General features: G+C 42.9%; 1 annotated feature.

Moving 5' to 3' along the window:
- Positions 7,854-8,073: an enhancer, noted in NCBI's record as "active region_5823". NCBI's record gives its function as "activates an Ori minimal core promoter by ATAC-STARR-seq in GM12878 lymphoblastoid cells {active_cell/tissue: GM12878}" and the evidence as "EXISTENCE:reporter gene assay evidence [ECO:0000049][PMID:35858748]".

Below are 16,092 nucleotides of genomic sequence, written 5' to 3'. Positions count from 1 at the left end.
GACTTGTCCTCAGAACCAATCCAACTCTCCAATACTTCACCCCGTTCTGTCCCTTTTCTGCTTTTCGAGATCCTTTTCTCATCTATAAAGTTGCAGGGGCCTGTTTTGTGTTTTCGCTGTGTATTATAACATAAATAGCACTTGAGAAGAGTCAGAAAAACTTAACCTTTCTGGGCCTTCAGCTATAGTGATCTCTAAAGTTCCTACAAGTTCTAATCATCTAAGAATTGTTCCAAAGGGAGGATCTAATGCTAGTCATTTGTTATCATAAATTTATACCCAAAGTGCTTTTCCAGATACATTTTAAACTTTATTTCTGACAGCAGAGTAAAATAATTTCATTTCTTGAGGTTCTATTTCTAGAGACTGATTGCATTTCCTATTAAAATTTGATTATTTTGTAGGAATAGAAAAAGTCATCCTAACATTCACATGGAATCTCAAGGAACCCAGATAGCCAAAACAATCTTGAAAAGGGAAAACAAAGTTGGAGGACTCATACTTCTTCATTTCAAAGCTTATTACAAAGCTATAGTAATCAAAACTGTGTGGTACTGACATAAAGACAGACATGTGGACCAGCAGAATAGCATAGAGAGTCCAGAAATAAACCTTCAAGTACATGGTAAAATGATTTTCAACAAGGGAGACAAGACTATTCAATAGGTAAAAGACAGTTTGCACAATAAATTGTGCTAGGAAAACTGAATTTTACAAGCAAAAGAATAAAGTTGGACTCCTACCTTATGCTATGTGCAAAAAATAGCTCAAAATGGATCAAAGACCTAAATGTAAGAGCTAAAACTATAAAGCTCTTAGGAGAAAAAGGAGAAAATTCTCATAATATTGGATTTGGCAATTAATTCTTGGATATGACACCAAAAGAACAGGCAATGAAAAATAAATAAATAAATTAGACTACATCAAAATTTAAAACTGTTGTGCCTCAAAGAACACTATTAAGAAAGTGTAGGCCGGGCGCAGTGGCTCATGCCTATAATCCCAGCACTTTGGGAGGTCAAGGTGAGTGGATCACAAGGTCAGGAGATCGAGACCATCCTGGCCAACATGGTAAAACCCTGTCTCTACTGAAAATACAAAAATTAGCCAGACATGGTGGTGTGTAATCCTGGCTGCTCTGGAGGCTGAGGCAGGAGAATCCCTTGAACCCGGGAGGCAGAGGTTTCAGTGAACTGAGATCATGCCACTGCACTCCAGCCTGGGCAACAGAGTGAGACTCCATCTTGAAAAAAAAAAAAGTGAAAAGACAACACACAGGATGGGAGAGAATATTTGCAAATTATGTATCTGATAAGGGATTAATATCAAGAATATATAAAGAATGCCTACAACTCAACAATAAAAAAACTAAACAACCAAATTAAAAAATGGGCAAGGAACTTGGATAGACATTTCTCCAAAGAGGGTCTATGAATGGCCAATAAGCACAGAAAACATGCTCGACATCACTAGTCATTAGAGAAATGCAAAGCAAAACCACAATGAGAAACCATTTCATACCCTTTAGGATAGCTATTATTAAAAACAAATTAAAAAACAAAACAGAACATAACAAATGATGCAAATATTGTGGAGAAATTGGGACACTCAAATATTGTGCTGGTGGAATGTAAGATGGAACAGCTGCTATGGAAAAATAGTTTGATGAGTTCTCAAAAAGCTAAACCATATGATCTGGCAATTCCAATCCTAGGTATACACCCAAAAGAATTGAAAGCAGGGACTTGAACAGATGCTTGTTCATCAATGTTCATAGCAGCATTACTCATGATAGCCAAAAGTTGGAAACAATCCAAATTCCATCAACAGAGAATGTATAAACAAAGTGTGGTATTTACATACAATAGACTATGATTTAGCCATAAAAATGAATGAAGTTCTGATACATGCTACAACGTGGATGAAACTTGAAGGCATTATGCTAAGTAAGCTAGACACAAAAGGACAAATATTGCATGATTCCACTTACATGAGGTATCTAGAGTAATCAAACTCACAGGGACAAGAAGTAGATTAGAGGTTGGTTACCAGGGGCTGGGAGAAGTGGGGAACGGGGGAATGGGTACAGAGTTTCCGTTAGAGATGATGAGGGATGTTGGAAATAGATAGTGGTGATGGTTGCACAACATTGTGAATATAATTAATGGCTCTAAACTGTATACTTTAAAATGTTTAAAATGGTGAATGGTTAAAATGTATATTTTATCAGAATAAAAATATGTATGAGAGAGAGAGAGAAGATTCAGTCATCAGTGGTGAGTGGCTGGGGGCCCCTGACCCAGTGCCACATTAAGGGCTGATTCCTTTTCCTTCATGCAAGCTTGCCTGGTGCAGCCTAAGCTCAGATAGGCCTGACGAATGCTCTCTGGGGTGATCATATCCATGGGCAACAGAGGAGACTGGAGGGAGGAAGAAAGAAAGATCTCCGCCAACATTTGACTCTGGCCAGCCTCTTGCCTCAGAGAAGGGCCTGTTGTTAGAACGCAGGGGCTCCTAGGGGATGGATTTTTGTCTTTCCGTTCTGGTAAGTTGATCCTTCAGCTCTTGGAGTTGCCCACTTAGCTGTCTCTGCTCCTTCCACAAAGCAACTGTGAAATGAAGGGCTCAGACCAGACTTAAAGAGGCCCCATATGTTTTCATGACCATCACTTCCCTGGCAGCCCCTCTGTTCCTGCATCACTAAATGAATTCATATCCTCTGCCCTTCTGTTGTTACCTTTGCTTTAATATCCAAATAATACAATTTGCACATTCATCGCAGTACCATGGGAAGCCCAGAGCCTTCCCTAGAACCCTCTCAAGTATTTCCCAGAATTCTGCTGGGGGGTTATAGTCTCATGTTCATATTTTCCTCTTAATTCTTTCCCTCATGAAGTTTTTGATTCTCACTTACATTTCGCTCCCCACTCCCCACCCCCACCGTGGGGGTAGCTGTTCTTCCTCATTTCTCTCTTGTCCAGAAGGCAGAGCCGCTTCTTTTCCCTGCAAAGCATCACTAACACAAGGCTATTGTACTGAAGAGACTTTTCCAAGGATTGAGAATCCCTGGCTGGGTGGCACAGAAGAGGAAAAACTACACACTGAAGGTCAGACACTACTGTTTCTGGAAACTCGCTGGCCCTTCTCTGATCTGGAATGCTTTTATTAGACATGCTCCTACTGAAGACCCTCCTTTCCAGATCCTTGCACCCATCTCCTCTCTTTCAGAATTCCAACACCTGTATAATGTCAAGATAGCTCTTTACCAGATCACTAAGCGATTTAGCTTTTAACTTCAATATCACACTGAGCTCTGAGATCTATCTCCCTTTGCATCCCTTTGAGATTTCCTAAACCCCAGGTGTTTTGTCATTAAGTACACAAAGAACCAAGAGAAACTCTGAAATTACAGTTTTCTTAATTTGAACTGGATCAAATCTTAGATAAGCAGGACTCACTCATCCACCAAACAGAGCTAGCCGCATAAGTTGTAAAGTTTTTCTTTTCCCATCACAAATGCTTCCCTGGGATTTAGTAAAACTGGAGGTAGGGGCTGGGCATGGTGGCTCACACCTGTAATCCCAGCACTTTGGGAGACTGAGGTGGGTGGATCACTTGAGGCCAGGAGTTCCAGACCAGCCTGGCCAATATGGTGAAACCCCATTTCTACTGAAAATACAAAAATTAGGCTGGCATGGTGGCGTATGCTTGTAATCCCAGTTACCCAGGAGGCTGAGGCAGAAGGATCACTTGAACCCAGGAGGCAGAGGTTGCAGTGAGCAAAGATCTCACCATTGCATTCCAGCCTGGGCAACAGAGCCAGACCCTGTCTCAAAAAAAGAAAACAATAACAACAACAAAAACGAAACAAAAAACTGGAGATGGGGACTCTGCCTGACTGGGATACTGTGAGACCTTCCAGAGGTGATGGAAGTTGTTTGGGATGGACAGAGGTGCCTGGTGCTAGAGGCAAGCAAGTTTGAGATTCTGGGCCCTGGCCACTGATGGCGAGAGTCCCTAGAGGAAGGTGCCTGATGGGAGCAAGAGCTTACTTTGCCCACTCCCTCTATGTGTAAAGACCTTTTGAGTGTAACAAGTGTCAGATTACAATTGAGTAGGTCAGAGAGAAAAGGAAATTCATCTGAACCATAAAGTTCTAAAGAGAGAGATAACATCATTGCCAATTTTGGGGGAAACAGAGCCACAAGAGGCTAATCACACACTGCCTGAGTAATGAAGACATTGTGGCAGCGCCACAGGATGGGCACATTGACTGATGGAATAGGATAGAGAATGCAGAAACAGACCTGTGTACTATCTGATAAATAAAGCTGAAAAAAAAAGGTTATCTATAAGGAAAATATGAAAATTATTCCCTGCCTCACACCATATAAAAACAAACAACTCCAGATTGACTTAATTGTCAAAAAAAAAACCTAAAATTTTTAAACTTCAGGCTGTAAATTCTAAATTTAGTTGAAAATATAGGCAAATATCTTTTAAACCTTGGAGCAGAGAAGAGTTTCTCAAAACAGAAAGTGCTAACCTTAGAGGTATTAAAGCAAAGAACATCATGTAATGCCTTGAATATACAGAAAAGACAACTTGTAAACAGATTAGTTTGAAGAATATTATAAAGAACTCCTAGAAATCAATAAGAAAAACATAAGCAAGCTGATAGAAAAATCATTAAGAGACCTGGACAGGTCTTCTGCGGAAGAGGAAACACACATAGTTAATAAACAAAGAGATACTCAACCTCATTGTGATCAGGGAAATGTGTTAATTCTACTGGCAAGTTACAAAGTCTAACCAAACCAAATGTTGCAGAAGATGTATGAATAAATCCACAAATCTCTCATTCCTTAAGGGTGTATAAATGATTACAACCATTTTGAAAAATGTTCACATACTTATTGCACAGCAATTTCACTCCTGGTTACATAAACAACCTTTTCACACACAGCAAAAGACATTCATAGCAATTGCTCACAATAGCAAAAATAAGAGAGTAGCTGAAAACATTATTTGTAGTATTTCACACAACGAAATATTACAGTGTTCAAAATTAATAAAACAGCCAGGCAAAGTAGCTCATGCCTGTAATCCCAGCTCTTTGGGAGGCTGAGATGGGAGGGTTGCTTGAGGCCAGGAGTTCCAGACCAGCCTAGGCAACATAGTGAGACCCTAATCTCTACAAAAAAATTAGAAGTAGCTGGGCATGATGGTGCCTGCCAGCGGTCCCAGCATTTTGGGAGGCTGAGGCAGGAGGATCGCTTGAGCCCAGGAGTTTGAGGCTGCAGTTAGCTATGATTGCACCACTGCACTCCAGCCTAGGTGACAGAGCAAGACTCTGTCTCTAAAATAAATAAATAAATAAATAAATAAAATGAAATTATATAAAAGGAAAGCAAGATAAAGATGCATCTAAAATGTAGTATGTTAATTACAGTGCATGGAAGAGGCAGGCAGAGTGGGATGAAGAAGAACCATGTGTTGGGTGGTATGTTTCTAGGAGCGTGTTACATTTTTCAAAACAATAGCCAAACAATCAAGTAGGGTTATGCATGGGGCAACTATAGGAGTGCAGAATGAAATAAGTATTATGATTAATCCATTTCCATGCGACTGAGATCCACTTAAGTAAATAAAACAGACCGGGGGCAAATTTGACATGGTCGTAGTGAGAAAAGTCCATTTGGAGTGAGAAGGTCCCCGTAAGTGGCCTTTCAAAAGCGATTTAATTATTCTGAGTCTCAATTTCCTGTACTATTCAATGGGTGAAACTACCAAGAGCTACACCAAGTGGGTTTGCTGCAAGGATGAAATGAGAAAATGTATGCGAAGTGTCACATATGCCAGCCCTGCCTCCTAACTTCCTCTCTCTCTGCTGTGCACCCCAGCAGCGAGTGGTGTATATGTGGGAGGTTCTGTTACAGTGAATATTAGGGGCACCTTGATAAGAAGAAGTCACAGAAGACTGGAAATCCATCTGAGAGGAAAGATGGGGGCAGTCCAGCTCCTCTGTCTGGGCACTAATTAGGTCGGGGATTTGGGGGCTGATTTGATGTACCAAAAAGTCTTGCGTTTTGTCTACAGCATGAACGGCTCCTCTATCTTCCCCAACTCACCCACTCCAGTCTTTTGTGTGCACGTGACAACCTCAGTGGCAATGTCATTAGAACATACTTTATTTTTTATTTTCAGTTTTAGAGGCAGTTTAGCATGGTAGAAAGCATGTTGGCTTTTGTAGCAGAGATTACTAGGGCTTCTCCATACCTGGTTTTCCTCTTTCCTGGGCACAGAGAAGTCTACTTTCCCAGGTTCCTTGAAGTTAGGTGGGGCCCTGTGAATGACTAGCTAATGGAATGTGTTTGGTGGTGATACAGTCAGGTCATCTTCAGCCCTAAGCATGGAAGCCCCTGCGTGAAGCTCCAGCCCTTTGTCTTCAGGTAGATTGACAATAGAGGCCCCATGTTGGGGTGGGAAAAGGGAAGGGTAGCTGAGCTGCCACAAGGAGGAAAACTACCCTGGAGATGCACTCAGATCTGCAACCACTTTTGCGTGGGTGAAAAATACACTTTTATTATACAAAGCCACGGAAACTTTAGAGTTTACTTGTACCTGCAGCATAGCTTGGCTTATCCTGACTTATCCAGCCTTTTCTCAGATTATCCTGGGTTAGAATGCTGATTCCATCAGCTATAGGCTGAAAGGTCAGGATGGAACAAGTCACTGAATGAATCTGATCCTTCATTCTTCGTCTTTCAAATGGTAACAATATCTGACTCATAGAATTCTCGTCAAGGTAAGGTAAGCTAATGTATTTACAGTTCCTTTTGCAGTGTCTGGAACAGAGTAGGCAGTCATAACTCATAGCTATTATTATTATTACTATTTGCTAGGTTTGATGCCAGGAATAATAGGAGGGAAGATAAAGCATCTCTCTTCCTTAAAGTGAACAGATTTTATTTGAGAAAATGAGCTGTGTGCTCAAGATAATTTAACAGACCTTACAAGGGATTGTTGAAAGAGCTAAACACACAATGGAGGGGCTACCCGCCTTCTCTCTGTCTCCCGGGAGCTACCTACCTGACACATCCTGAGTCATACAAGGACTTGCACTTTTTGAATATTCTCTAAAGCCCTGGGTAGTACATGTGAGCTACCAGGTCATCATCTATATCTGCATTAAGGCTCTCAGTGGCACTAGATGGTGAGCAGCTTTGGAGATTGACTGGTTGATCTGACTGAGGATCCACAAGCTCTGCACAGATGTGGGCTTAAGAAACATGGGGAGGCAGAGAGTCCTGGGGAGCTCTCGACGTGGTCAACCCAGAGGCAGTGGGATAAACCTGAGGACTTCCAAGGCTATTCCAGCCCCGAGACATTAAACTTCTCCAAGCCAGAACTGCAGAAGCGAGACACATGTGTGGCCATTTACTGAGTTAAGAAAATCTTCCCTTCAGCGTTTGGTGGGCACGTGGGAGGGCCCAGAGTAAAACGGGCAAGAAAGGAGACAGAGTTAGCCTCTGGGCCGTCAGAGATCCTGTTCCTGTTTTTATGAAGGTTCTGACAGAGAAGGCTCAGCAGGCTGGACAAGGGCCAGACCGCAGGGGCATGGCGCGGGTTGCTGGGTGAATGTTCAGAAGTTGAGAAGCTGTCAACGCCCTTGCTGGATGATGGTGATTGCACGTCTATTAAGCGTTGAGGGATCCTAGAAAAAGGGCATGTTTCCCCCACTCACCAGCTCCCTACCTCTGTCAAAGGAAACTGAAAGCAAATATACTACACAAGGGTTTCCCCAGAGCCCCAGGGACAGAAAATTTGCTACATTGGAGCACTGAAGCATGACTTTCAAATCTAGAACAAACTTGTCCCATCTTGAGACCACCGGCGCAAATCTCACTTGTCTGTTTAATCTTCTTTATGATCAACTATTTGCGCAATTTGGGCCAAAATCGGGGGCTCCACCCAAACGCTGCCACAGAACAGACTCAATTTCAGAAGGCACTTTCTTCTCGCCAGACCACTTGCTCAAGCCGCTATACAGCCCTCTGCTCAGGCCCCATGCCCAAAGATTGGGAAACTAAGGCCAGGGAAAGGGTGACGTGTGTGAAGAATGTCACAGCAGCTTAGACGAGGAACCAGGAATAAGCCTGACATAGCTTTTTAGACCAACATTTTGTTAAGAGGTTCATGCAGCTGATGATCTTGGTCCAGGCAAGTCGCTTAACCTTCCTAATCCTCAGTTTCATCATCATCTTCTTTTTTTTTTTTTTTTTTTTTTTAGACAGAGTCTTGCTCTGTCGCCCAGGCTGGAGTGCAGTGGCTCAATCTCGGCTCACTGCAAGCTCCGCCTCCCGGGTTCACGCCATTCTCCTGCCTCAGCCTCCCGAGTAGCTGGGACTACAGCCGCCCACCACCACGCCCGGCTAATTTTTTTGTATTTTTTTAGTAGAGACGGGGTTTCACCGTGTTAGCCAGGGTGGTCTCCATCTCCTGACCTCGTGATCCGCCCACCTCCCAAAGTGCTGGGATTACAGGCGTGAGCCACTGTACCTGGCCGGGCCTCTGGAGTTCTTAGGGACACACCTGCAATGAGCTTGGGAGGTCCCCTGCTCCCTCTCCATTTCTTTTCCCTTCTCTTCTAAACAGCCTTTGATGCCTGTCTGTTGGACAAGCTTGCATGTTCATTTAATGCAGGATAAAGATGTTGGCGCCTAAGAGGGCCACACTGTCTCATCTGTCCCCATTGGCAAATCTTCTTCTCCCAGTTCATTCCTCTTTTGCAAAACATGGATTATTATACCCATCTGACAAGGTCTTTGTGAGGATTCGAGAGAACACGCAAAGCCCGACATGTACTAGGCCCTTGATAAATGACTCTGGTGGTATTTGTGTGTCACGTGCCATATGTAATGCTGGACACTATACATGTTGGCACTGCCCCATCTCCTGTTTCCTAGATCTGCCCTGTGGGTGACAAAGCACAGGTGCCTTCACTTCCATGTGGTAACCCTTTACTATGGAAAGACAACAATTCGGTCCCCCAGAAATCTTTTCTCCAGGCTATGTGGACCTGGATCCTCAGCTTTTGTTCATGTGAACACTAGATCTCCTCATCTGTTCACACACCTTTGGGATGGGCTCAGATTTGCCAGTATCCCTTTTAAAATAGGACGCTAGGAATGAACTCTGTGTTTCATGAGAAGGATCACCAGGGAGGCCACCATGTTTCCTTGCAGACCCAGTGGAAGTTAATACCAGTCACACCAAATGACCTATTTCAGAGATGTGCCATAAGATTTCTGGGGACAGGAGACTAAACAAACAAACAAAAAATACATGTCCTCGCAGGCGGTAGGTGGACTTTGGGATTCTAGAATATTCCATTTCCTGACTTGGGTGATGGTTACATGGGTTATTCATCTTGCAATGATTCATTGAGCTAAGTGTTTTAAAATAGCAGCTTGGTTGAAATACAATTCACGTGTTATACAACTCGCTCATTCAGAGTGTACAATTCAGTGATTTTTGAGTATATTCACAGAGTTATGCAATCATCACCGCAGTCAATTTTAGAGCTTTTTCATCACATCAGAAAGAAACCCTGTGCCCTTTAGCTATCAGCCTCCTATAGCCCCATCTTCCTCAGCCCTAAGCGACCCCTAATCTGCTCTCTATCTCTAGAATCATTTTGGGGTCCGATGAAAGGTGAACTTTAACAACACGTGTCACTTATCCCATTTTATATATGGGGTAACTAAGGCTGAAGGCAGTAAAACAATTTGCCCAAGCTTCAGAGTAACTTAGACTGCAGAAATCCTCAGCATCGTCACCTAAGTGCAGTTGGCTGGCATGGAGGGGAGCTGCCTCCCTTGTCCTGATAAGCCCTTGGTTAGCGCTGGTGCCAGCTGCTAGCATCCATGCCCTCAGCCACTTAGCTGTATTCCTCCTCTCTGGTGGCCTGTGGGCTGGATTCATCCTTGTCCTATTGGGTGCAATATCTCCATGTCTCTAGTTTCATCCAGGCACTAGGTACCTCCAGCGCTTTGGAGCTTAACACAGGTGTGACAGCTGTGTTCTCCAGAAGGCAGATGCTGCGGTGGAGTTAGGAGTGCAGAAAGTTTGCAGGAAGAAGACCTGTGAGAGAAAAGGGGAGAAAGTAGAACAAGGCAGAAGGAGCCACAAGATTACCATGTACATCCAACAAAGTCCATGCCAGCCCAATGGGCAGCTCCAGAGCAAAGACTGCCCAATGAAGGAGTCCCACATAGCAAGGAAATTGGTATGCATTTTTGCTAGCACCTTGCTCGATCATTGGCTGATTCCCATCCATCCTCTTGCAAGGAATGTGTGACCTCAGGTAGGAAGTCATGGCGGACCCCAGGGAGCTAAAAGCTGGAGCCCATCAGCTAATCACACTCTGCAAGTCCTTTTCTGAAGCGACATCTGAGCACTGCATGTCCTTATCTGCCAGTGCCCCCAGCCCAAGCCAGACATCCCTGCTGGAATCAGTTATTGACAGGCTGGCTCAGGGAATCATCCAGAGTCCAGAACCATAGACTACGGACCTGGATTATCTACCAAAGAGCTGGTTATTCCAATCTCCCTGCTCCCCTTTTTTGGTAGTTCACGATAGGAGTGGTTTGTCACCAAACTGGGGGGATTCTGTAAGGTGTTTGGGCCTCAGCGCTCAAGGACCTGGGGACAGGTGTTCTTTGTACTGTTATTCCTGAATGAATTCAGGTCTCTGGTACTGGTCATAGTCATCGTTGTCAGCATCATCACCATCTTCCCCATAACCTTCTTTCCCAGCAGCAAACAGCATTTTTTAAATACCAAATTCTCAGTGATGCTAGATTGAATTTTAATGTAAAGGAAGGAAATATTCCAAGTTGTCCTGTCTACTAGAAACTTCTTGTATTAAGGGTAATCACTTACTAAGCCAAATACAGAATAAACATGGTGAACTTCTGGGCTCTAAGATCTCGGGTTTTTAATTTCCCCTCTGTAAGATGGGAATTACCTTGACTGCTTCCCTCTGATCCCTAAAGGACTGGAGAGACTTCAATGAGATAATGGAGGTGAGAGCCTTGAGCATCTCATTCCACTGTCATCAGAGCATCTTTTTGCCTACGGCTCTTGAAACCTCTTAAAAGCACCACCACATTTTCATCATATAAAAATTGCCCAAGAGACACTTCATCATTACCAGCACTTGGTGGGAACCTGGCATTCATGCTCACATTCCTCTATGATCACAGAGTCTTGTTGGTCCAAAGAGACCACAAAGGGCATCTTTCGTCTGGTCCGTCTGGGGCAGAAAGTAAAAAGCCCCAGAGGATCTTGTTTGCCTCCTCCCCTCTGCTTGGGCCCAGGCAGTTGCTTCTCTCAACACCTTGGTCTCCTTGGCACGCGTTCTCTGTTTGCCAAGGCAACTCTTATTTCATTGTACTTCCTCCTGTAGACCCACTAAGGGAATCTGCCCGCTGTTCATTTCCATGTGACAAACATGTTACGTGTGCAGAGCATGTCCAAGGTACTGTGGGAGCACATGAGGCAGGAGAAGAAAGAGCGTGGTGAAGCAGGAAGGAGCCTCACCCACCTCCATGTACAGGCGAGTCATAATTGTGAGCAGGCACAGCACGAGGCAGGACACAGCCCCTGACCACAGCAACCGGAGTGTCGCTTCTGAGATGGACATAACTTAAGCTTTGGAGAAAATCGGATCTGGCTCTGCCACTTACTAACTGTTTGACCTTGGGCAAATAATTTAACTGCAAAGAGCCTCAGTTTCCTTGGCTATAAATTAGAGATAATAATACCCATTCTGCAGGGAGGCTGTGAGAATTAGAGATAATATATGAGGAGTGACTGGATCGTAATAGGCACTCAAAAAGTAGCAATTATTATAACAATTACATTTTCTGCTATAAATTCAACAAGTAGCCATTGAACATGTTCCTTTATTCATTCATTTGTTCAAATATCCATTCATTCATAAAATGTTTATGAACTCAAGATTGTGCTGGGATCAAGGGAGGTCCTACCAAGAAATTAGAAGCAAGATTCCTTGGCTCAACAAACTGAAACTTGAGTTGAAAACGAGAGTAGTCAAATTATAACATAAACACAAACAGCTGGGCCTGATGGCTCACGCCTGTCATCCCAGCACTTTAGGGAGGTTGAGGCGGGCGGATCACCTGAGGTCAGGAGTTTGAGACCAGCCTGACCAACATGCTACACTAAAAATACAAAATTAGCTGGGCTTGGTGGCAGGTGCCTATAATCCCAGCTACTTGGGAGGCTGAGGCAGGAGAATCGCTTGAACCCAGGAGGCGGAGGTTGCAGTGAGCTGAGATAGTGCCATTGCACTCCAGCGTGGGCGATAAGAATGAAACTCTGTCTCAAAAAAAAAAAAAAAAAAGACAATCATACCTTCTTGTCTGTGTTGCCGTGAGAGTTAGGTGAGCTAAACCTGCAAGGTGGACAGCTCAGTATTGGCCCAGAGTAGATTCACTGAAGGAGAACCAGACTGGAGTTGAATCTTACTTGGGGATGGAGGTGAATTCATGGCTTCTACTTTGAAGCTCTGAAGCTTAAGCGTTAGTACCGACGCCTCACACAGATGGGCTTCTTTCAAAGCTCTGTATCTAATTTTGTTTTTCTTTCTTTATTCCTGCCAAGGGCTCCCCAAATTGCATAAGCTTCATGACCCAGAAACATTAGATTATCCTTCATGAGGGATTGGGTTTCAAAATCAGATGATAAAATAGAATTCTGCAAATACATGACTCACATCCAATGTTCTTGGAATGTCGGGACTATACAGATAAGGTTAAAAGCTGCCTTGAGGTCAGAAAGAAAGGTATTAATCAAGGAATTCTTAATAGTGGAGCAAGCAATTTGAAGACTGGAAGCTACATGGACTGAGAGAAAAGATGCAGGAGGCAGGTGGTGAGGAATACAGGGATGGGGAGATACCATTTTTACCTTACACGTCTAGGAAATATAATGGTAGGATGGGTGTTTGGAACCACAGTGGTCTGAGCTCTACGTATTTGAATATCGTGACTTTGGACAGGCCAAGTAATGTTTCAGAATTTCAGTTTCCTCTTTTGTAAAATGATAATATCTAGTAGTACTATTTAGTAATACAAGTAATCTTGCATGAAGTTAGAGACTTTTTGTAAAAGTGCTTTGTAAAACTGTAAAAAACTCTGTTTAATATTGGTTCCAATTTATTTTACTCATACTCAAGAAAGGATTTTCTTATTCACCAACCTGATAATAGTGGGAAGCATCCCTAAGGGGGAAAAACATCTAGAACTCCCTGAATAAAAATTCGGGCTTATTACATGACTTTGAGCAACTTCCTTAACTTCTCCAGCCTCGGTTTCTCCATCTAAAGCATGAGAATAATTACATTTTGCCTTTAGTGCAGTTATTAAACACCAGTGAAGTAATTTTTTAATCAGACTGATCTTTCAGTGCCGTGGGAGGAAATAGACATTTCTAATTCATTCTTCTTATTCTGACCATTACTAGCATGTGGAAAGAAGAATTTCTCAAGACTTTGAGTAAGAAGAAGGAGCAGCGACAGCAACAGTCCCCACTTGGACGGGACTGTAATGAAAATGAGGATGACAGAAGCTGTAGTTGGGCGCAGTAGTACAACCGTGTATTTGTGTACCACGGCCGATCCACAGTGCCTGCTAGCTGTTTTAACATAGAGCTTTGCATCCAATTCTCATAACGTGCCAAATGCTTGGTATTATGGTGTACCCTATACAGCTGAGGAAAACAGGGCTCCTGACCCTTGAGAAACTTCTTGAAAGTCTCACCTACAGCCAGTAAAAGAGCTTCAAACTCAGGTCAATGCTAGAGCTTGCTTTTCCTGGTATTCCTGGGTGATTTCCTGCTCCTCTGAGTCTAGAACAAAAAGGACTGTACCAGTGTTTACAAATGAGCCAGAAGAACTTTTCTGGGTGAGAAAGTTTGGAGAACCCAGCAAGTTGTGAAATTGCTAGTTATTGTTTTCATACCAGGAAGAAGGTCTGCATCTCTGCTCTTACGGAGAGGGAGTCAGTTACCAGTGTCCAGTGGTTTTTGCCACCAATGACATGTCACACTGATCACCCTCTCCCTGGCCTTCCTGGCGGTGTCTTTACTGCCCCCAGGCTCCCATGCTTATACCAGTCGGTTCACAGGTCTTCACTATTAGATGAGTAATAAACAGTAGAATATAAGCCTCTCCTCCTGGCCAATCCCAGAGCTAAACGAACATGTTCAAACACCCTGTCACTATTATTACCAATGATAATAAGAGCAATAACAAGCAGGAATTGCTTTTATTAAATAAATCAGGAAGATGCACTTTACAGCTAGTTCCAGAGACACCTCAAGAGGCCTCTAAATGCTCGGGTGATGTTGGAGCATGTGTTGTCATCTGTTATGGACGAGTTTCTCCACAATTACTAGTCTCTCCACAGCAGGTTAGGATGCATCTTCTAACTGTATAATAACATAAATGGGTTTTCTGTTTATCAACTATTACATTATAAGTGTGCATTTCCTCCCTATAAAGCCTTCTTTTTAATAGGTGTGCTTTGGAAATGATACTGTAATTGTAGCTTTTTTAAACAGCAAGATTTTTTCTTTCTTTCTTTCTTTCTTTTTTTTTTTTTTTTTTTTTTTTTTTGCTGAGATGGAGTCTCACTCTGTTGCCCAGCCTGGAGTGTAGCCTTTTAAACAGCACAAATTTTTTTCTTTCTTTCTTTCTTTTCTTTCTTTTCTTTTCTGAGATGGAGTCTCACTCTGTTGCCCAGCCTGGAGTGCAGTGGCGTGATCTCGGCTCACTGCAACCTCCACCTTCTGGGTTCAAGCGATTCTCCTGCCTCAGCCTCCCAAATAGCTGGGATTACAGGTGCACACCACCACGCCCAGCTAATTTTTGTATTTTTAGTAGAGACAGGGTTTCACCATGTTGGCCAGGCTGGTGTCAAACTCCTGACCTCAGGTGATCTGCCCACCTTGGCCTCCCAAAGTGCTGGAATTACAGGTGTGAGCCACTGTGTCCAACCAACCAAACAGCAAGATATTTAGCCTTCATCTGGTGCTGGTTTTCTCAGTTTGGGTAGATGCAGGGAGACCTTAGCCTCCTTAACCCTGTAACCTCCAGGTCAAGTGCAGAGCTCTGCCAGGCCAATGTGCACTAAGGCTGCCCAATAAGTGCTTTTTGAATGTATGAGTGGTAAGAGCAGAGAGCTCCTGGGCCATCTGCATCACCCCCTTGCTTCTTGATGGGGCTGTATCTGAAACCATCCTAGGAGGGTAGCAATAACAAGATCACAGGGCATGGCTCTTGAGAGTCAAATATGTCCATCACTGGAATTCAGTGTGTTTGGTTGAGTGGTACACACAGTCTTTGCTGTGCCTAGTGCATCTGAACCTGGAGTTGTTAATATTTGATACCTCCTCCCTCTGAACCTCAAAACTATTTTCCATAATAGCCACATAGTAATAATTATTTTCTTAATTAGTTCTTCATGTAATCATCATTATTTTCTTGATTTGTTCTTTACTTTAAAAATAACAACTAAAAAATAAACAGCAATATTAAAGATATTATCCACAGTTTGTAGAACATTTTATGCTTGAACCCATATGAACTATTACCAAACAAAACATTATACCTTGCAGTTCACACTTTATTTCACTGTTTTCAATTTTAAGTGCAGATAAAAACTCTAAGTTCTCACATAGGATGGCAGAATTGAAGTCACTCACACTCTGTTTCTTTGCCTTTATTAATATAATCAATGTGCTTATTTTTTTCAAGCAAACTGTTTAAGTGCAAGAATATGTGATACCATAGGGGCAGACTATACCTGAAAGAAAGTTCTAACCATTCCAAACCATTATGCCATTAGGAATAGCTCTGGAAACAGACGCATTTAGCTAATCTTTTGGGGCTGGGGTTAGTCGCTGGGGAGAGCACTATACGATTGGGAGTTCTCAAAATTAACTGCCATAGAGAACACAATGATTATTAAAAGTAAGCAATGAAAAGGTAATCATCTACAT

The sequence above is a fragment of the Homo sapiens genome, chromosome 12 (genome assembly GCF_000001405.40).
Source record: "Homo sapiens chromosome 12, GRCh38.p14 Primary Assembly".
NCBI lineage: Eukaryota > Metazoa > Chordata > Mammalia > Primates > Hominidae > Homo > Homo sapiens.
Note: the sequence above shows the minus strand (reverse complement) of the source record. Positions and strands in the feature narration are given on the sequence as shown.